Below are 23828 nucleotides of genomic sequence, written 5' to 3'. Positions count from 1 at the left end.
GAGACTTAACATTTAAATTTGTTACAGTTAGGCCCTATACATCAAAAGGTCTTCTCAGGACATGAAGGCCCATAAATGCACTGTCTCTGTAAACCAGCCAGAACCAGTCCGTGGTCAGTTTTCCTCTTATCTGGAGAAAGTTACTGACATCAGTCTCTTGTCCAATCAAAGCTGTAGTTATGTCTGGTAGCAGGGGTTCAGTTACTGAGCATCTGGTGCAGCTGCAAATTGTTTTAATCCTGCTTGTCTTGAGGCCAGTGCCTGTTTAGCTACTAGAGAAAAAGAAAAACCTTGTGGCAGTTAGAACACAGTTTATTCTTTAAGTGTAGAGGTGCCTGACTTAAACCTTGCCTGGTGTGGCCTTAGGTTCTGTTTATAATTTGGAATCTTATTGTCACAAAGAATATGTTCTGTCAGTCTTATAATCTCTATCTTAACATTAATACCGGTCAGTTGTCATGTCTAAATTGCAAAAGAGAGGAAGTATAACAAGGCACATCTGACTTCCCACCCTGTCATGGCTGAGAACTAAGTTTTTACAGTTTTTCTGGAGAACTTTTGGCCAAGAGGGGGTTCGTTCTGTTGATGGGGGGCTTTGAATTTTAAGTTTGCAAGTGCCTAGTCCATGTGTATTATAATCTTGCAAATAATGAGGATGAAGAAATAGATTCTAAAGCATTCAGAAAGTAGTGTCACTAGGACTTAGTCACATATTTGATAGAAAAGTAGTATTCAGTGAAGGAAAAAGGAGTCACTTTGTGAGTAGGTAGATTGTCATTCAAAATAGAGACTGAGAACTCAGGGGCATTGACAAGTTTGCAGTGTGAGCATGCCTTGAATATGTAGGTGAGATGTTTGGTATTAGTAATACAATTCTACTAGAGTGATAGAAATAACTTGGGAGTCACTGGAGTAGTTGAAGGCATAGTAATGGATGTCTTACCTATTGGAGAGTACATTAAGAAAAGAAAAGCATAGCACCAAAAATACTTGATAGTATAATGACCTAATTTCCTTTGGGTATATACCCAGTAATGGGATTGTTGGGTCAAATGGTAGCTTTGTTTCAAATTGTTGAGAAATCTCCAGGCTGCTTTCCACAGTGGCTGAACTAAAGTATTTCCACCAACAGTGTATAAGCCTTTCCTTTTCTCCACAGCCTCATCAGCATGTTTTGTTTTTTAATAATAGCCATTATGACTGGTGTGAAATGGTATCTCATTGTGATTTTGATTTGCATTCCTCTGATGATTAATGATGAGCATTTCTTTTTTATGTGTGTTGACTGCCTGTATGTCTTCTTTGGAGAAGGATCTGTTCATGTCCTTTGCTTATTTGTTAATAGGGTTACATTTTTTTGCTTGCTGATTTGTTTAAGTTCCTTATAGATTCTGATATTAGACCTTTATTGGATGCATAGTTTGCAAATATTTTCTGTCATTCTGTAGGTTGTCTGTGTACTCTATTGATGATTTCTTTTGCTGTGCAGAAGTTCTTTACCTTAATTAGGTCACACTTGTCAATTTTTGTTTTCATTGCAATTGCTTCTGAGGACTTAGCCGAAAATTCTTTGCTAAGGCTGATGTTGAGAAGAATACTTCCTAGGTTTTCGTCTAGGATTTTTACATTTTGAAGTCTTACATTTAAATATTTAATCCATCTTGAATAAATTTTTGTGTATGATGAAAGGAAAGGATTCAGTTTCATTCTTCCACATATGGCTAGCCGCCATGACAGCACCGTTTACTGAATAGGGTATCCTTTCTCTGTTGCTTGTTTTTTGTCAGCCTTGTTGAAGATCAGATTATTCCAAGCGTGTGGCTTAATTTCTGAGTTTGCTACTCTGTTCCATTGGTCTATGTGTCTGTTTTTGTAACAATACCATGCTGTCTTTGTTGTTAAAGTCACATGCACTCCTATGTTCATTGCTACACTATTCACAATGGTAAACACATGGAATCAATCTAGGTGTCCAGCAGGGGTGGATTGGATTTTTAAAATGTGGTACATATACAAGATGGAATACTACTCAGCCATAACAAAGAATGAGATCATGTACTTTGCAGCAGCATGGATGCAGTTGGAGGCCATAATCCAAAGCAAACCGACACAGGAGCAGAAAACCAAATGACACACGTTCTTATTTACAAGTGGGGCTAAACATTGAACACACATGGACATAAACATGAGAACAATAGACACTTTGGACTAGTACATGGGAGACGGAGGGGAGAATGGGTGGAAAAACTATTGAGTACTCTGCTCACTAACTGCATGCAATATACCCATGTAACAAGCCTGCATATATTCTCTCTATATCTAAAATAAAAGTTGACTTTTTTTAAAAAAAAGAAAAACAGCTTGAGGAGTTATATTGAAAGGTAATATAGGGAATGGATGTCATTTATTGGATGGTCAACATCTGATACTTTTTTCTCTCCCACACAGATCTTAGTGGCAGACAAAGGATTTGACTTTGGTATGTGTAATCAAACCCACTCAACCTAGATTTGGATATAGAGAAATGGAGGCAAATGTGCATGGACAATAAAAAAAAATTAGTACAAAGGCAGTTGAAGCAAAAATTTCAAGATCTCAGAACATGCACCCTGCATTTAAAAAACAATGGTACAGAAAATATAAGCTGTGTCATTGGCAGTTCAGCAGCAGAAAAAACCACACTCATGAAGCTACTGTTGGAACAGGATTTTGGCTGTTGACTGGCTGCCTTGCTTCCTTCTGTTCCTGCCATTGTTTTCCAGTGAATTTCTCCAACTTTCCTAGCATTTATATGTTAAACTCAATATCCATTCAATAACTTATTTCCTGTTGCAGCCCCCCAAAACCTGGATGTTCAAAAGAGAGATGAGGGAGAGAACAGAAAAGGATATTGAACAGAAGGATCAAGGGAAGAAGCAGGAGGGAAACTAGAGAATTGAGTGTTGGGGACATAAAGAAAGGAAAGATACAAAGAATGACAAAGTGAAGTACAGGGCCAAATGCCAAAATAAATGGTTTAGTAGGACAAGAAGTGAAGGAAAATCACTGTGCTGAGAATGTACATGATTTTTTAGTGGCTTTAGTGAGAGCAGTTTCCCTTATATAATGGAATAAAGTTCAGCAAATAAGACGTGAATGGGAAACAAATGGCAAAACAGTGAGGTGATGAAATAGAGTACTCTATGAAATGTGGAGAATGGTTAGCATTTGTCTGCTGCTCATACACTAGTTTAATATTTTTTCTTCTGTAGAATATTTAAGAAAAGTTCTCAAAAGAAAATATAGACAAGACAGAGGACAGCAAGATATTTAGAGGAGAAAAGGGACAGAAAAAGTGGAAAGGGAAATTTGTGTGGGTGAAAATAAGAAGGAGGAAGAAAAATAGGCTGAGAATAATTATGCCATATAGGGGTAAGTGCAAAAAAGACAAGCCAAAAAAGAGATAGAGAGGAAGTCTGAGAGAAACATAGAGGCAAATAAAGGGAAAAGCTCAGAAGCTTGGGTTGAATGTGTGCATTAACTCTGATGTTCATGAATATGACAGAGAGCTCTGAGAGTATTTTCACTTTCTTTTTTAAAAAATTCAGTTTGTTTCCCTTTGGAATTTGTGTATGATGAAGAGACTTTTACTTAAAATTTTACCCATAAATGTTCCACTGTTCATGACCATATTGGCACTGTCTGAAAGTTTATTCCATATTCAAATGTTGCTATATCTTTATTATTATGGAGCTTAAAATGAAATTTCTCAAGAAATCTTGCTGATAGTGAGAGCACTTTATTCTCCATCAGCATTTTGTTTGATTGCTTGTTTTTTAGCAGAATTAAATAAACCAAAGACGGGATCCTGAGGCAGACTATATAAAGAACAAAGGGCAATAATTCCGCTTTTTATGTAAATTTTTATATAATTGGTTTATTCCATTCAAACCCAATTAACAATATAATCACACATTCTCAAAGTCAATTTATGCAGGTACTTTTTAAAACTATAAATGTCAAAAAAGGTAGGGGAAGTATATTTGCTGTATATTTTCTGAGATGTATATATGTGAATTACTAGTATTATTTATAAATAAAATACTCAATAAAAATATATTTATTTCTTTGTACTAATTTTATATATTTATTTATATGCCTATATTTAATATGATCAATGAAATTACTGCCATAAGTGGTGATGATATAGAGGAGTTAATATTTAATTAACAGATCTTAAAAGTTTTAATCAGAAATGTTGACTACACAGAATAAACCTTTATGTCAGAATCATCAGAAAGATTTCTTATATAACCATAGAAATGAATTAAAGCTTTAAACCCAGTTTTAAAGCATTTAATGTTCTAGTTATCCAGAATTTACCTTACATAGTCATTAGAGTTGGGTTTAAAAGATAATATATAAGGGTTCAAAATTTTATTTTATAGTTATTTTGCTTATCTAGATTTTAGATAAGATTTTAGACATAGATTTTAGTTATTTTGGTTATCTAGATAATAAAATAGGAAGATTATTCACTTCTTTTGTTCCATTTGCCCCTGGCAATTTTGGTATGCTGTAAATCAAATACAAAATTATTATAAATTAAATAGCATTTTAGACTTTCATTAAAAATAATAATATGAAAAATAATTTCTCTCTTACCAATATTATAAGAAATTACGGAGATCCTTCAAAAGTGTTAGGCTTTCTAAAGCATAGAAAAATGCATGATAGAACAGAAATGACAATAACACAGGTAGGAATTCTTTGCACACTGATTCATTATGGAGGCTTCATTTTCAATCTTAGGAAAATGTTGCTAACATAAATTTGCTTTCATTACAAGGGTTCACCAATTGTATCTCTTTATTTTTGCCAGGAGAGGATGGTGTGGAGAACTGAAATTCCGCTAAGAACACCTTAGGATTCCCTATAGGGTAAAGTGAAGATCTTCAACTGGGCGTTGTGGATTTAGATGTGTATGAGAAATCCAGATTATCCTACAGGGTATTACAAAGCTCAGAATGGTAAACTTTAAGTCACTGTAGCTAGTTCTGATTTTTACAATTGAAATTACACTTGATGCCACTATTTTCCATAAGTGATGCTTCTGACATTTTATGCAAACTTCAGTTTATATATAAAATTGGATGCTCTGAATGCTTTGATTAGCATGGTCTTACCTGAGCTAGTTAAAACATGATTTTAATAAGACCAAAGATCAAGATTTCCTTCAGAAGCCAACTCCAAGTGAAGTTGTCCTCCTCATGCGAACTACAGCTTAAATTCCGGACATAACAGCTTAGCTTCCAGGTGAGCTGATATCTGATGATAAATTTTACTAGACAAAGCAATCTTGCAATTTATCGCTACCCAGTTCATGCTGTAGGTATGTTTTATAATAAAAATGTTGTCATAGGAGCAATTGGGGAGGTTAGGAACCTTGTAGCCTCTGGCTGCAAGACTCTAGTGCCATAATTTCTAACTTTGTGGTGGTTAGGTCCACGACTATGCTAAATGTCATGCCCAGGGTTAGGTTCCAGCCCATGCTGAGGTTCCGGGGAAGTGGGCGGGTGGCAGATAGCTGAAAGACACTCGGCGGGGTGGTGTAGGCAGGTGAAATGTAGTTTTATTCAGCAGCTTTCTGGTCAGCAGCTCTCTTACACTGTCTGTCTTTATGTCAGCTACCTGTCTTTATGTCAGCTGTCTGTCTTTATGTCAGCTGTCTGCTCCAGCTCTGCAGCTCCTACCGCCCCTGTGCCTGCAGCTGCACTCCCTGGCCTACAAGCTGCACTCCCTGGCCTCTCTCTTTATGGGGAGAGCAGCTTAACTCTTTCACTCTGGGCACAAGCTGGTTCCTAGCTCCCTCCTGCCAACCTTCAAGGCAACTGGCTCTCCCTTACAGGGGTCAGTAGTGTTACTCTCTCTTCAGGTGCATGCAAACTGAGTCTGTGCAGTGTCAGCAGGGCAGTTATACCCTTTTCAAACAATAGTGGCTCCAATCCAAGTATGAGCTTATACAAACAGATTATACAACAAGTGGAGTTATATGCCTGTGCTCCAAACTCATGCAGGCCTAGATGTCCGCCTTAGCCTAATTCCCTGTACCTTATGTTGGCTAATTGGTTAGTTTTACAAAGGGGGTTTGGTTCCCAAGGAAGGAGGGGGTTTTTGTGAGGGGCGGTTATCATCTGTGTTGAAACTATAAACTAGTTCAATTTAAACTAAATTGATACCAAAGTTAGTTCAGCCTACATGCAGGAATGAAGAAGGGTAGTTTGAAGGTTAGATGCAGTGTCTCATTTTCTTATGTCAGATTCACTATCATAATTTTCCTATGTGAGATTTTTCTCATTGTCATAATTTTTGCAAAGATAGTTTCATCTATATTGCAGGGGATTATCCCTTACCTCATAATCCTGAATCTACTAAACATTTGCTTTGTTATGTTTTCACTCCTAATAATAAGAAGAAACTAGACAAATGCCCTATAAAGTCAGTTTCTCCGATTAACCAGGTCTGCTTGCCTTTTTTTTTTTTTTTTTTTTTTTTTTTGAGACAGAGTCTCGCTCTCTTACACAGCCTGGAGTCCAGTGGTGCAACCTCAGCTCACTGCAACCTCCACCTCCCGGATTCAAGCAATTCTCCTGCTTCAGCTTCCTGAGTAGCTGGGATTACAGGCATGCGTCACCACACCTGGCTAATTTTTTTGTATTTTTAGTAGAGGCAGAGTTTCTCCATGTTGGCCAGGCTGGTCTTGAACTCCTGACCTCAGGTCATCTGCTCGCCTTGGCCTCCCAAAGTGCTGGGATTACAGGTGTGAGCCACTGTGCCCGTCCCAGGCCTGCCTTCTTTAACTACATTTACAGGTTGGACAAAATCTGGCTCAGAGCAATGGTGAAAAATGTCCCTGTGATGCAGGATTGTTTTTGCTGTCACTTCACCAGCCAGAGACCTCTGCAGCCAGTGACACCCATGCCTGGGCCTTGCTTGGGTCCTGGGCTTGCTGCAGGAGACACCCCACCCACTCAGCCTGGTGGGCTGTGCTTGCCTTGCCCTCCTGCCTGGATCCTACACTCGCTGCAGAATCCGTGCTTAGCCTGCAGCTGGGCCAGGTGTGCTGTGACCTGTGTCCACCTTAGGAGCCAGCATCTGGACAAGAGGAATGTGATGGCACCTGAACAGAGATTCCCTGAAGCCCCAGAGTGGGTGTTACAACATGCTAATAACTCTTTTAGTCTTGCCATCCACAGCCCAACAAATGGGGCATGTTAACAGCTCTGTCAGTTTCATTGCCCTGCTATGGCCTGCAGCCCTGGGGCTGGGTCCGGCCCTGCCTCTGCTTCCCATTGCAAGGGGCAGCCACTGAGTGCTGGCAGGAGCAGAGGACTATAATCTTACAGGCTTTTTCATACCTGCATTCAGCAAGTCCCTAGTTCTTGTCTCATATCCAAGAAGAATGAGGTTATGCTGACAGCTGATGGGTGCACAAGGTGAAGAGTTTTATTGAGTGACAAACAGCTCTTAGTGGAGAGGTGGACCTGAGTTGGGTACCCCCTTACCTGAAGTCAGAGGGTCTCTCTTCTCTCGCCCATAGGTGGGTAGTCCCTAAGTGTAGCTGAATCAGGTTCTTTTATGGGCTCAGAATGGGGGAGTGCATGCTGATTGGTTTGTGAGTATGCAAAATAGGCTAAAGTCACCACTCAAAGGTGGGCATGACAGTGTAAAAAACCAATTAGGGAAGGGTAGTTATTTGTAAAATAGGTGAAGGGTGAGGATTAATCAGAGGAAAGTGCACCAAATGGGAAGAGAGGTTCTCAATCCAGTCCATGGATTTATCTGAGACTTGTAGCTTGGATTTCAGGCTTTAATCTGTCTTTGGTTTGAAGGTGGGGTTTCATCAGGGACCTTCCCCTGTCTGCCTATGAATTTGTCTGCCTCCTGCTGCTATCACCTGTTCCAAACAAAAGCCCCAGAAATTTTCTGTGAAATTTTGAATTCTTCTTGGATCACATGATCCAGGACTCTGTGATCTTCACCAATTCATTCAAATGATACTGGAAGCTGGTGAAGCTGGTAGCAGAAGCAAAATGTGTGGTACCTAAGATAGGTAGCAAAGATCTACCCCTCAGTCTTCCAGAGAAAGACAAAAAGTGCTGGGAAAATAACAAATAACCTCTTAGAATCCACCCTCAAATTATTTCTTCAACAACTCACTGGTCTGTCATGCAATCTTGTAAAGAAACAAGGATGAACTAGTCTTTGACTCTAAGGAAAGATTAGAAATACTATTTGTAAAACATTCTGGTCAATCCATGTTGAGTGCAGGCACAGAAAATACTTGTCCTATTTATTAATGGGATCCATGCTGAATTCATTGATCTAATTACTAAACAAAGCTGGATTGGGAAGCTGGCCAAATTAATACCCAAAATATTTTGCCTCTCTGGCATAAAGACTATTTCAAGCTGGTTATTTTAAGGTAGCATTAGAAGAGAAATTTAAAGGAATTTCCATTTTTAGGATGTCTCCCTTTCTGGTCCAGAAAGAGATGGAGGACTAAATCACTAAATAATGGAGAAAGAATTGATTCAATCTACACCACAAACCTGACCTTTTTAAGGTGTTTGTCTTGGTTATTTTGTCTTAACTGGGCTTTTACCAACACATTTTTTATTTTTTTGTTTTCACAGATGACTGTACCTAAGCCTGAATTCTAAGCATTGTGCCTTTGTAATATTAAATTTTCTAGCCTGTCTGTGCTAGGGCATGAGGGTAAACAGGTTAAAAATCTATATGCAAATTTCAAGAAGATGACACGTTTGAAAGAAAAAAAAAGGTATTTGTAAATTGGGCAAGTGAAAAATAGTAAAAGTATTTTCCACAAATATTAGTAAAAAGCTTTAGTCAACTGGGCAAGACATCTTAACTTGTTCCAACTACCAGAAACACAATTCAAATCTAGGTATTCTTCTATAAACTAGTGAGTTCAGCATTATTATACCTGACACATGGCTACAGTTTTAGGATAAACACTATAAGATTCGCTTCTTTCTGTATATTTATGTATGTCTATGTATGTTTGTATGCATGACACTTTTCTAACTCTAGATGATACTGCCAAAATTAAATTGTATTTGAACTCTATTTAACTAGCTTATGGAATAATATATACTTATATAAACTAAGAATTCTTTAAACTCTTAGAACAACAAAGACCAACCAAAATATTTTTCAAGTTCACATGATCTAGGATAATCTCTGGTAAATAAAAGCTATTTTAAATTTGCTGGTTTAATTAAAATAGACATCTCTAGAGTTTTTAGCATTAAATATAATACAAGAACACAACTTCCATTCAACATGGGTTTACTAGTCAAATAAGTTTAGGTTATCTTTATCTGATGTTCAGCCTAACACAAAATGTGAAAATTCATGTTTACTTCATATAAATCAAGCACATCAGTAAAATAAAAAACTCATGTACTTGACTTTTAGGTTTTTGCTTTCATGACTGACATGCATGTGCTGTAAATTAACAAAAAGTAATGTGAGATGTTGGCTAGCTGTGTCTACTGTCTCATGGAATTTTCATGACTAATGCACACATAGTTGTTAGGAACAAGTGAATTAGGACTAGCAAGTGGAGCAAGATGGCACAATAAAAGGCTCCACTGACCATCCCCTCACAAGGACCTCAATTTAACAACTATCTACACAAGAAAAGCCCCTTCATAAGAACCAAAAATCAGGTGAGCACCACAGTACCTGGTTTTAACCTTGTATCGCTGAAAGAGGCAATAAAGAAGTTAAAAAAAAAAGTTTTGAATCTCCAAAATTACCCCTCCCCAACCCGTCCGCACTGTCAGCCTGCTGCAGAAAGTGTTTCTGTGTGCTGGGGGAGGGAGAGCACAGCAATTTTTGAACTCAGTGCTGTCCTATTAGAGCTGAAAACTGAACCAAACTCAGCTGATGCTTCCTTATAGAGAAAACATTTAAACCAGCCCTAGCCAGAGGGAAATTGCTGATCCCAGAGGTTAGAATTTGAGTGCCTGCAATCCTAACCACCACAAGCTGAAGTGCTCTGGGGCACTAAATAAATTTGACAGGAATTCTAGGCCACAAGCACTGAAGATCCTAGGCAAGTCCTAGTGCTGGCTGGATCCAGAGTCAGTGGACTGGGGAGACATATCACCTACTGAGACATCGTCCAGGGTGGGTAAAGGGTAAGGGAGTGTCAGCCTTGCCCCTACACTAACCCCAGGCTGCACAGCTCATGCATCCAAAAGAGATTCTTTCCCTCCACTTAAGAAGAAGAGAGGTAAAAGTGAGGAGGACTGTGTCATGCATCTTGGATACTAGCTCAGCCACAGAAAGACAGGGCACCAGTAAGAGTTGCTGGGCCCCCTTTCCAGGTCCTAGCTCCCAGATGAAATTTCTAGACACAACCTTGGCCAGAAGAGAATCCACTGCCATGAAAGGAGGAACCCAGTCCTGACAGGACTCCATCACCTGCTAACAGAAGAGCCCTTGGGCTGTAAATAACCAGAAGCCTCAGTACTATACTGAGGGCCTTGGGAGAGACTCTGAGACTTCTGGCTTCAGGTGAGACTCAGCACATTCCAAGCTGTGGTGGTTATGGGATGAGACTCCCTCTGCTTGAAAAAAGCATAGGGAAAAGTAAAGGGGATTTGGCTTGCACCTTAGGCACTGGTTCAGCCATGGGGGTCGAGCACCTTAAGTGGGTTATTGGGGTTCCTGATTCCAGGACTTGGCTCCTGGACAGGATTTCTGAATAAGCCCTGGCCTGAAGAGGGGCTCACTGCCCTGAAGGGTAAGTCTCAGGGCGGGCAGCACTCACCACAGCTCACTATTTATTTATTTATTTATTTATTTAATTTATTTCAAAACGGAGTTTCACTCTTGTTTCCCAGAATGGAGCGCAGTGGCACTATCTCGGCTCGCTGCAACCTCTGCCTCCTGGGTTCAAGTGATTCTCCTTCCTCAGCCTCCTGAGTAGCTGGGATTACAGGCACCTGCCACCACGCCTAGCTAGTTTCTGTATTTTCAGTAGAGACAGGGTTTCACCATGTTGGTCAGGCTGGTCTCCAACTCCTGACTTTAGGCCGTGGTCCACGCCTGTAATCCCAGCACTTTGGGAGGCCGAGGTGGGTGGATTGCCTAAACACACAGCTGACTTAAAAGCCCTTAGGCCTTAAGAGAATATTGGCATTAATCTGGTAGTACTGCCCATGAGCCTGTAGTTGTGGTCATGGAGTGAGGTTATTATGCCTTTGGAAAGGGGAGAGAAAAGTGGGAAGGACTGTGTCTTGTGGTTTAAATACCAGCTCAGTCATATACAACAGAACACCAGGTACACGTCTAAGATTTTTGCCTCTAGTACCTGGCTCCTGGATGGCAACTGTGGACCTCCCAGGACCTGGGGGAACTGGCAACCCTGAAGGGAAGGACACAAGCCTGAGTGGATTTACCACCTGCTGATTGAAGAGCCCCAGGAGCTTGAGGGAACATAGGTGGTAGCAAAGAAGAAATTAAAGAAGGCCTTGGGCGAGACCTGGTGCTGTGCTGGCTTCAGGTCTCACATAGTGCAGTCCTAAAGGTGGTGGCCACAGGAGTGCTTGGGTCACTCCATCCCCAACTCCAAATGTCTCAGAATAGAGAGAGAGAGAGAGACCTTTTGTATGGGAGAAAGTAAGGGAAGAGAACAAGAGTTTCTGCCTGGTAATCCAGTAAATTATCCCAAATCTTTTTCGAGACCCTTAAGGTGGTACCTTTACAAGACCGCAAGAACCACAGGGTTACTGGGCTTGAGATGCCCCGTAAAACAGATATAGCTTAGATCACAACACTCAAATCTTTTCAAACATCTAGAAAGCCTCCCCAAGAAGAATGGGTACAAAGAAGCCCAGACAATGAAGATAACAATAAATACCTAACTCTTCAATGCCCAGAGACCAAAGAACATCTACTAGCATGAACACTAATAAGGAAAACATGACCTCACCGAATGATCCAAATAAGGCACGAGGGAACCAATCCTGCAGAAATAGAAATATGGAAGCTCTCAGACAGAGAATTCAAAATAACTGTGTTGAAGAAACTCAGGGAAACTCAAAATAACACAAAGAAGGAATTCAGAATGATATCAATGAAATTTAACAAAGAGATTGAAAGAAGTAAAAATAATCAGACAGAAAATCTGGAGCTGAAAAATGCAATTGGCATACTGAAGAATGCATTAGAGCCCTTTAATAGCAAAATGGATTGAGCAGAAAAAAGAATTGAAAACAGGCTATTTGAAAATACACTCGGGGGTCAGACTTGGTGGCTCATGCTTGTCATCCCAGCACTTTGGAAGGCCGAGGTGGGTGGATCGCTTGTGGTCAGAAGTTCAAGACCAGCCTGGCCAACATGATGAAATGCTGTCTCCACTAAAAATACAAAACTAGCCAAGTGTGGTGGTGCATGCCTGTGATCCCAGATACTCAGGAGGGCAAGGCAGGAGAATCACTTGAACCTGGAGGGTGGTGGCTGCAGCGAGCTGAGATCATGCCACTGCACTCCAGCCTGGGCAACAGAGCAAGACTCCATCTCAAAAAGAAAAAAAAAATACACAGCCAGAGGAGACAAAAGATAAAAACAATGAAACATACTGACAGGATCTAGAAAACATCTTCAAAAGGGCAAATCTGTCATTGGCCTAAAAGAGGAGGTAGAGAAAGAGATAGCACTAGAAAGTTTACTCAGAGAGATAATAATAGAAAACTTCCCAAACCTAGAGAAAGATATCAATATTCAAGTATAAGAAGGTTATAGAACAACAAGCAGATTTAACCCAAAGATGACTGCTTCAAGGTATTTAATAGTCACTCAAAAATCAAGAATAAAGAAAGGATCCTAAAAGCAGCAAGAGAAAAGAAACAAATAACATACAATGGAGCTCCAATACATCTGGCAGCAAACTTTTCAGTGGGAATCTTACAACCAGGAGAGAGTGGCATGACACATCGAAAGTACTGAAGGAAAAATAACTTTTACCCTAGAATAGTTTATCTGGTGAAAATATCCTTCAAGAGTTAAGGAGAAATAAAGACTTTCCCAGACAAACAAAATATTTCATCAATACCAGGCCCATCCTACAAGAAATGCTAAAGAGAGTACTTCAATCAGAAAGAAAAGAACATTAATGAGCAATAAATAATCACCTGAAGGTACAAAACTTACCGGTAATAGTAAGTACACAGAAAAACACAGAATAGGATAAAACTGTAATTATGGTGTTTAAACAATTCTAATCCTAAACAGAAAGACTTAACAATGAACCAATCAAAAATAATAACTACATCAACATTTCAAGACATAGTACAATAAGATATAAACAGAAACAACAAAATGTTAAAAGGCAGAGAGATGAAGTTAAGGCATAGAGTTCTTACTAGCTTTCTTCTGATTGTTTGTATGTTTGCTTATATGAAGTATTATGCTATTATCAGCTTAAAATAATGGGTTATAAGCTAGTAGTTGCAAGACTTATGTTAACCTCAAACCAAAAACATAATGGATACATCAAAAATAAGAGGCAAGAATATAAATCATATCACCAGAGAAAATCACCTACAGTAAAGGAAGACAAAAAGGAAGAGAAGACAAGAAAACAACCAAAAAACAAATAAGATGGCTGAAGTAGGTCCTTACTTATCAATAATAACATTGAATGTAAATGAACTGAACTCTCCAATCAAAAGACATGAAGTGGCTGAATGGATAAAGAAACAAGACACGTTGATCTGTTGCCTACAAAATACACATCTTACCTATAAAGACACACATGGACTAAAAACAAATAGATGAACAAAGATATTTCATCCCCCCTTAAAAAAACAAAAAAGAGCAGGAGTGTCTGTACTTATATCAGACAAAATAGATTTTAAGACAACACTATATGAAGAGATGAAGAAGGTTACTATATAGTGATAAAGGGGTCAATTCAACAAGAAGATATAACAATTTTAAATATATATGCACCCAACAGAGGAGACCCACATATACAAAGCAAAAAATATTAAAGAAAGAGCTAGGCCCCAATACAATAATAGCTGGAGATTATGATACCCCACTTTCAGCATTGGACATATCTTCCAGACAGAACATCAACAAAGAAACATTGAGGTTAATCTGCACTATAGACCAAATGGATATAACAGATATTTACAGAACATTTCACCTAACAGCTACACAATATACATTCTTTCCTCACCACATACATTATTGTCAAGGATAGACCATATGTTAGGTTACAAACATGTTTTAAAATATTCAAAAAATTGAAATATTATCAAGTATCTATTCTGAACACTATGGAGTAAAACTAGAACTTAAATATCAGGAGGAATTTTGGAAACTATACAATCACATGGAAAATAAACAATATGCTCCTGAGTGACCAGTGAGTCAATGCAGAAATTAAAAAGGAAATCACAAAATTTCTTGAAACAAATGATAATGGAAACACAACATACCAAAACCTGTCTGATATACCAAATGCAGTACTAAGAAGGAAGGTTATCGCTATGATTGCCTACATCAAATAAGAGAAAAAACTTCAAATAAACAATTTAATGATGCATCTTAAAGAACTGGACAAGCAAGAGCAAACTAAACCCAAAATTAGTAGAAGAAAAGAAATGATAAAGATTAGAGCAGAAATGAATGAAATTGAAATGCAAAAAATACAAAAGACTAATGAAACAAAAAGTTGGTTTTTTAAAAAAATAAACAAAATTTACAAATCTTTAGCCAAACTGAGGAAAAAAGAGAGAAGATTCAAATAAATAAAGTCAGAAATGGAAAAGGAGACATTGCAATTGATACTGCAGAATTTCAAAGGATTATTAGTGCCTACTATGAGCAACTATATATATATATATATATATATATATATATATATATATATATATATATATATACCAATAAATCAGAAAACCTGGAAGAAATGAACAAATTCCTAGATACATACAACTCACCAAAACTGAACCAGGAAGAAATTCAAAACCTGAACAGACCTATAACAAGTAACAATATTGAAGCCATAATACAAAGTCTTCCAGTAAAGAAAAGCCTGGGACCGGATGGCTTCACTGCCAAATTCTACCAAAGAGAACTAATACCAATCCTGCTCAAACTATTTCAAAAAATAAAGGAGGAAGGAATACTTCCAAACTCATTGACAAGGCCGGTATTACCTTCATACCAAAACCAGATATCAAAAAAAAAAAATTAACAGGAGAATATCTCTGATGACTATTGATGCAAACATTCTCAACAAAATATAAGCAAACCAAATTGAAAAATATGTGATAAAGTTCATTCATCATGACCAAGTGGGATTTGTCCCAGGGATGCAAAGGTGGTTCAACATACACAAATCAATCGATGTGATACATCATATCAAGAGAATGAGGACAAAAACAGTATGATTATTTCAATTGATGCTGAAAAAATATTTAATAAAATAAAACATCCCTTTATGATAAAAACCTCATGAAACTGGGTATAGAAGGAACATACCTCAATATAGTGAAAACCATATACAACAGACCCACAGATAGTGTCATACTGAATGGGGAATAATTAAAAGTTTTTCTCTCAGATCTTGAAAATGACAAGGATGCCCGCTTTTGCCACTGTTATGTAATAGTACTGGAAGTCCTAGCTACAGCAGATGAGAGAAAGAAAGAAAGGGTATCCAAATTGAAAAGAAAGAAATCAAATTATCCTTGTTTTCAGTTGATATGATCTTCTATTCAAAAAACCTAAATACTTCCCTTAAGAAAGCATGAGAACTGATAAAAAATATTCAGTAGATTTTCAGGATACAAAATCCTAGAAAATAAAGTTACTGAGAATTGAGAATTCTAGTTAATGTACGGTAATTAAAACTGCTAAAGAACATGAGAAACAACCCTGTATGCAAAGTAAGCAAGTAAAGTAAGAAATGTTTTTTTATAAGAAAAGCCACCAGGTATGAGGATATGTGGGTTTTTTTTTTTTTTTTTTTTTTTAAGTGGAGTAATATTGTCTAGTTTGGATGATAGCTAAAAGCTGTTTCAGAATAGATGATGAAAGACAAAAACCAAATGAATGCAGAAAGTTGGAAGAGAAAGAGAATCTTTTGCAGTTAAGTTGCCAGAATTCAAGTTATTATGAGTTTTTAAAATGAGTCTTAATATTAAAACTAAACTAATCAAAAATATAATTTGGTCTTTTCAATTAAAATCACAAAGTTTGAACAACGTGTTGGTCTGCTCTTACTAGACACTGGTTAAGTTTTCTCTTGGCCCTTTAAGTACTTGGCCTGTGAAACAAAAAGATTTTATGTTTTATCAAGATGATGTTCTGTGATCCATATTATCTTTAGCCAGTATCTGATTACTTAAGAAAACTGAGTTTTCTCAATATTAAAACAGATAACTTTTTTGTTTTTTTTCACAATAACATAATTTTTTTCTATTTGCCTTTGAAATCTTTGTCATTTTGGTATTCTTTCAATTTGTGACTATATTTAACCAATTATTGCAGGTCAAGACAAATGGTATGTTCTTACTGTGACATCACAGCCTGGGGAGTTAGCCTGGAGAGGCTATGATGTCTAATTAAAGATTAAAGTCTAATATGAGATTATTTATTAAAGGTCCTAACATGGCCAAATTAAAAAGAGATGGTCAGTCGCTATTTTTACTGCACTTATACTCAAGTCCTTATTAGATGACCTAGACTATTTTAGCATTTAATGCATTTATAAAGCCACATTGAATAACATACGACTTTGTAAAATATTTTTATTTTCTTTCTGCTAATATTATTCAATTATGATATGAACATGATTAAAATTTCTTAAGTGCTATTGAATAACATTAGGGATATATTTATTAGTTTAATAGGTACTAAAACCTTAGGCCATTAAAGTGCTAGGACTTTGCATCATCTTTGAATGCTGGCAAGACATAGACACCTCTAACTTGCACAATCTTGGGACAATTTTAGTAAATAGAGAAGAGAGATTGTATGAGATCTAAACATTGCTTTTGAACATTTTTGTGAATGAAGCTATTACTTGCTTGTTTCTCAGGCTGTAGATCATGGGATTTAATAAAGGAACTATGACAGTGTAAAATAGAGACTCCATCATATCTTGGTCATCTGCTTGCGGAGATGCAGAGCCCAGATATTTGAAGGTGAGGGGGCCATAGTATAAAGATACAGATAAGAGATGAGCCCCACAGGTGGAGACAGCTTTTCGTATCCCTTTGATAGACTTCTTTTCTAAGATTGTAAAGAGGATAATTGTATAAGATATAAGAATAGTTCCAATGGTAAAAACTTGAACAGAACCTGCGAAAATAAAAACCATTAGAAAGTTAATAGAGGAATCAGTACAGGAAATCTTTAACAATGGGATAATGTCACAGTAAAAGTGTTGTATTATGTTGGAATTACAGAAGGTTAATCTGAATGAAAAAGCTTCATGGATTAAAGCATGAAGAAGGCCACCTATAAATGACAAGACTAATAGCTGAATGCATAGTTCATTGGTCATAATGACTGGATAAAGTAAAGCTTTGCAAATGGCTACATAGCGATCATATGCCATTGTTGCCAAGAGAAAACATTCTGTGGTTACAGTGGTTACAAGGGAAAAAAATTGTACCATGCATTCAGAGAGAGATATCATCTTACTCTTAGCTAAGAAGTTGATCAGCATCTTCGGAGTCACTGTGGATGATAACGAAGCATCCACAAAGGCTAAACTCCCAAGGAATAAGTACATTGGGATATGAAGGTGAGGGTCTTTCCAGATGAGAACAATTAGACCAAGATTCCCCATGATGGTGATGAGATATATTACCAAGAATGCCAGGAAGAGCGGTATTTTACAGTCAGGTTGATGTAAAAATCCTGTGAGAACAAACTCTGTCAGCAATGTTGCATTTTCCTCTTCCATCTCCTCACTGCATGTCCTCTGAAAAATGAAGCAAAGGTAAAGGAACATTTGCAATGGAATTGTGAGTTGAAATTGGGGAAGAGGTGTTGAAATAAACTATGTAATTATCGAGCCCTCTTAATTTTTTTTGATCAGTGCTATAATTGATGAACCCTATATTTGAGGATTTAAATACATGGAAATAATAATGAATTTGGTTTGAAAATTGTGTAGGAGTTAACAGACTGAGAGTTAAAAAGACGCATTATCTGAATGTACTAAATTTTTGTGGACTCTACTGAATGTAATGAAAAAAATCTGTCTGGGACATGGATGTAGGGTGAAGGAAAAAAGATATTTGAAAGACGCAGGTTAAAATAAATGGAATGAATGCAATGTGAAGAATCTCAAATTTTATTCTTCACACAATAAACATGCACCAAATATTTTAGGATACAAAATGGCATCATGATATATTTTTAAAATTTAGTTCTTGGTAGTGTAAAAGTATGCTGCAGAAAGGAAACAGTGATTCAGGAGTCCTAATTAGAAACTTGATACTAAGGTCAAAGGGATCCCAAATTAGATTACACATGAGAATCATCTGGGAGAGTATTTTTTAATGAAAAATACAGATTGTGAGGTTTTATTGTAGAAATTGATGATTTCAGGAATGAGGTCTAGGAATCTGTATTTTGGAAATACCCTCAAGTGATTGAAATGCATGTGAAGTCTCTAGTCCCAGTTTGAAATGACACTGGAAGACGTGGTAGGACAAATGAATAGATTCAAAGGAATTCGAAATGTAGAGTCTCTAGTATTCTGTGACATATTCAGTTTGAAGTATGTGGTCAGTGAAGGAGAGAGAAGTCACTTGGTGACTAGATAGGTGGACATTAAACATTTAGGATGAGAACTCAAATTGCTGGCAAGTTTTTGGAGTGAGCATCACATCTGAACAACTAGGTGAGATTCAATCAGTAATATGGGTCTATTAGAGCTTAATAGAAGTAATTACCTGGAATCATTGTAGTATTTGAAGGCATCATTAGAAATGATGTACAAAGTGGATATAATCTTTTATAAGATGGTCAAGATCTAATCCTCTTTTTTGCCACCCAAGTCTTGGGGGCTTTCTGAGGTTACCTATTGCTATTGCTCTAGAAGCCAAAAGGATTAGAAAGTCATTTTCCCATTCTTCTTGCCTGTAGAGAGAAGAAACAGTGACCTAGGACGGCAATGAAACACATTGATCCTACCTTTGGAATATGGATAGAAGAAGAAAAGTGGATCAAAAGTGGATTTTAGTTGTAAATTCAGCCATGACAGAAATACCATGAATCCACTGAATGCATCCTTCATCTATATCAATAACACATACAGTGTGAGCTGTCAAATTATGGCCAGAAGTGTGTATATGAATACAAAAGTTAATTTTTAAGTGACTAGCCTTAAGAGTTTTAGTCCGAGAATGTGCATAATTAAAAACAATGAGTATTTTTATCAGAATAATCTGAAAAAAATTCTTAGAATCATTATGATAAAACCAGTCTCATTTGTTTAATGTCCTACAGCATCACAAATTGTCATATAACATCATAATAAGGTTAACAAAAAATAAAATATCATTAAAGAAACAATGTTGTCTTATAACTATTTATCCTATCCATATCATAGTCATGAAGCTAAAATATAGAGATAAGCCAGTAATAGCTATCGAATTTCAACCTGGCTATTTTGACAGCTTGTGTACCCAATCTAAAATTATGGTAAGTTAAGTAGCATTTTCAACATTTCTACAAAGTATAATGAAAATTATAGATATTTTTTCTTTCTCACCCATATTTGGAAAGAAATTTAGGAGATCCTTTAAAACCATTAGGCTTTCTAAGACAGAAAAAATATAATTGCACAGGAATGAAGATAACACAGGTAGCAATTCATTGCGTATCCATTCTTTATGGTGGCTTCTTTCCCCAAGCTCAGGAAACTGCTGTTTATATAAATTTGGATTAAACAGAAGAGTCATTCAGTTGTACAACTCTGTAGTTTTGCCAGAAGATGATGGAGTGGAAAACTGAAATTCTCATAAGAGTGCCAAAGGAATCCCCACGGAACAAACTGAAGCTGTTCTAGTGTGCATTTTGCATTTGGACATATGTGAGAAGCCCAGATTGTCCCAAAGGACATTACAAACTTCTGGAAACATAAACATCATTTCATTGTGGACAATTCTAGTTTTAACAATTGAAATAATATTTTATGCACTATTAACCACCACAGATGACACTTCTGTCATGTTTGTACAAACTTTAGTTTACATATGAAAATTACTCAGTGCTTTGATTAGTATAATCTTGTCTGAGGTAATCAAAACATAATATTAATAAGGCCAAAGTTTCTGATTCCCTTCAGAAGCCAAACCTAAATACAATTGTCTTCCCCATGAAAATTGCAGCTCAAATTTTAGACACATACTTAGTTCTCCCATTTTATGATAAAATATGATGGGAAATCTTATTAAAGGCCAAGGGATGAGCCAATGAAAAACAAAGACAAGGACTGCAGTGGGAGGTGCCCTAGAACTTTGCTTCTCAAATTATAATAGCTAAGACCTCTCTAAATGCAGATTCTATTTTAATAATTCTGGTGTGAGTTTTCCAGGAGCCTTTATTTCCAAAAAAAAGTAATGTCCATGGACATTTGCCATCCAACAGGCCTTCATCATGGGAGGACCTGGATTATCAGAGAACCTTGATCATTGGAGAAACAATAAATAGCAAATGTGGTGGGTATGCAAAGAGAGAAGCAGGGGACGACCAGATTTGTTCAGGGAGTCCAGCATGAGTAGGTTTTTGAGGGATCTTTGGGGGTAGCTCAGGGCTTTGTTCTTTACCCCAACTTACAGAAAAATCATTGATGGATTTTTGAAGGATTTTGAAAATGGAGGTAGCATGTTCAGAATTTTTCTTTAGTGCATTAATAGAGCAATATGTTAATGAGCATTCATTCAGAAAATAAAATCTAATGTACTTATTTATAATATTTATATTCATATTTAAATTTTCTTGGCAGTGAAAGGACTCTTTAAAGAAAAAAAAAAACTTCCTCTTGGAAAATGGTAGGATAGGAAGGTCTACTGCTCTCTCCCCTGTCCACCTGCACTGCCATGCAAGGACACCAAGTTCATACCCATCTACTCAGAAAAAAATACCTTCATTAGAACCAAAAGTCAAATGAGCACTCACAATATCTGGTTTTAATGTCATAGCTCTGAAAAAAACACTGAAATGATAGGAAAAAACAGTCCTGAATCAGTAACACCACATCTCTCCCACCCACCAGCAGCAGCATGGTGCTGAGGGACTCACTGGGCCTGTGGGAGGGAGAACAGAGCTATTGTCAGGTATTGAACTCAGTGCTGTCCTATTAGAGCAGAAAGGAAAACTAGACCAAACTCAGCTGAAGTTTGCCCACAGAGGGGACACTGAGACCATCCCTAGCCAGAGGGGAATCACTGATCCCAGTGGTCCAAATGAGAGTAGGCAAACCTCACCATCAAGGGCCAAAGTGCTCTTAGTCTCTAATTTGAAAGGCAGTCTAGGTCATAAGGACTGCAACTTGTAGGCAAGTCCTAGGGGAGAACCAGGCCCAGAGACAGTGGACTGGCGGGGGCACATATAATATACTGAGACACCAGCTGGAACAGCTAAGGGAGAGCTGGCATCACCCCTTTCCTAGCTGTCCAGGCTGCACAGCTCACAGATCTAAAAGAGACTACTTCCTTCAGCTTAAGGAAAGGAGAGGAAAGAGAGGGGAGGACAGTGTCTTGCATTCATGGATACCAGCTGAGCCACACCAGTATAAGGCACTGGTCACAGTCAAGAGGCTCCCATTCCAGGTCCTGTCTTCCAGATGACATTTCTAGACACACCCCGGGCCAGAAGAAGACCCAGTACCTAGAAGGAAAAGACCTAGTCTTGGCAGCATTCATCAACTGCTTACTGAAGAGCCCTTGGGCTCTGAATAACCTGTAGTGATACCCAGGTACTACATCAAGGGACTTCATGAGCCTCTGACACTTGCTGACTTCAGGTGAGACTTAGCACATTATGAGCTGTGTTGGCTATGGGACAAAATTTCTTCTGCTTGAGAAAAACAGAGAGAAAAGTAAATGGAGCTTTGTCTTGCACCTTAGGTACGAACATCACCACAGTTGGGTAGAGCACCAAGCTGGCTCTTTAGGTCCTCAATTCTAGCAGTTGACTCTTCAACAATATTTCTAGACTTTCCCTGGGCTTGAGGGGAGCCCACTGCCTGAAGGGTGAGTCTCAGGCTAGGCAGCTTTACCACAAGCTGATTTAAGAGTCCTTGGGCCTTAAGGGAACATCCAGGGTAGTCTTGCAGTACTCCTTGTGACCAGGGGTGGCAGTGGCAACAGGTGGAGGCTCCTCTGCCTTTGGAAAGGGGAGGGAAAAGGGGTAGAATTGTGTCTGTGGTTTGAGTGCCAGCTCAGCCGCAAACAATAGAATACCATGTAGACTTCCAAGGATTTTGACTCTAGTCGCTGACTCCCAGATGGCACTTCTGGACCCATCTGAGATTAGGGGGACCTTGCCTCCTGAAGGGAGGGACACAGGTTGGGCTCGCTTTGCCACCTTCTTATTGTAGACCCCCAAGGCCTTGAGTGAAAATAGGCAGTAGCCAGGGAGTGGTTACAGCAGGACCCGGATGGGACCCAGAGCTGTGCTGTCTTCAAGTCTGACCCAGTGCAGTCATAGTGCTGGTGGCCCCAGGGGTGCTTGCATCAGTTTACTCCAGCTTTAGGTGGCTCAGAACAGAGAGAGAGAATGGCTGTTTGTTTGAGGAAAAATAAGGGAAGAGAGCAAGAAATCTCCTGGATCTTGTTCAAGACCATCAAGGTAGTACCTCTATTATTCTGCAAGAAATGCAGCATTACTAGGCTTGAGGAGCCTCCTAAAGCACATACAGCTTAGATGACAATGCTGAAGTTCTTTCAAATAACTGGAAAGCCTTCTGAAGTAAGACATCTACAAATAAGCCTAGACAGTGAACACTACAATAAATGCCTAACTCTTCAATGCACAGACACTGAAGAACAGCTACTAGCATCAACTCTATCCAGGAAACAAGACCTCACCAAATGAACAGATTAGGCACCAGTCCTGGAGAAACAGCGATATGGAACTTTTCAGACAGAGAATGCAAAATAACTGTGCTGAGGAAACTCAAAGAAATTCAAGATAACTCAGAGAAGGAGTTCAGAATTCTATCAGAAAAATTTAACAAAGAGATTGAAAGAATTAAAAAGAATCAAGCAGAAATTCTAGAGCTGAAAATGCAATTAACATACTAAAGAACACATCAGAGCCCTTTAATAGCAGAATGGATTGATCGGAAGAAAGAATTAGTGAGCTTGAAAACAGTATATTTGAAAATACACAATCAGAGGAGACAAAAGAAGAAAGAACAAAAAACAGTGAAGTGCACTGACAGTATCTAGAAAACAGCCTCCAAAGGGCAAATCTAAGGGTTATTGGCCTTAAAGAAGAGGTAAAAAGAGAGATAGGGGTAGAAAGTTTACTCAAAGGGAGACTAACTGAGAACTTCCCAAACCTAGAGAAAGATATCAATATTCAAGTACAAGAAGGTTATAGAACCTCAAGCAAATTTAACCCAAAGAAGACTGCTTCAAGGTATTTGATAATCAAGGACCCAAAGATAAAGGATAAAGGATCCTAAAAGCAGCAAGAGAAAATAAACAAATGACATACAATGGCTCTCCAATACATCTGGCAGCAGACTTTTCAATGGAAACCTTACA

General features: G+C 38.0%; 1 protein-coding gene and 1 long non-coding RNA gene across 4 annotated transcripts in view; one reads left to right on the top strand and one right to left on the bottom strand.

The window, feature by feature from the left end:
• LOC105373999 (uncharacterized) overlaps positions 1-19620 on the top strand; it is a 51966-nt gene extending 32346 nt beyond the window's left edge. The window contains exons 2-4 of one of the 3 annotated variants that reach the window (XR_001740814.2): positions 2449-2479; positions 4862-5295; positions 19195-19620. This is a non-coding gene — a long non-coding RNA (uncharacterized LOC105373999). Of the gene's footprint in view, positions 1-2448; positions 2480-4861; positions 5296-8675; positions 8997-19194 lie in introns of those variants that run through there. The other 2 variants (XR_924259.2, XR_924258.2) reach the window with 2 other exon arrangements.
• OR5H6 (olfactory receptor family 5 subfamily H member 6) lies at positions 16981-18093 on the bottom strand. Its single transcript, NM_001005479.2, has one exon. The coding sequence runs from the start codon at positions 18002-18004 to the stop codon at positions 17075-17077; it is 930 nt and encodes a 309-aa protein (NP_001005479.2). The 5' UTR covers positions 18005-18093; the 3' UTR covers positions 16981-17074.
• Positions 19621-23828: the final 4208 nt, after the last annotated feature.

This window comes from Homo sapiens, chromosome 3, assembly GCF_000001405.40.
Source record: "Homo sapiens chromosome 3, GRCh38.p14 Primary Assembly".
NCBI lineage: Eukaryota > Metazoa > Chordata > Mammalia > Primates > Hominidae > Homo > Homo sapiens.
This window is presented reverse-complemented; position numbering and strand designations above follow the sequence as displayed.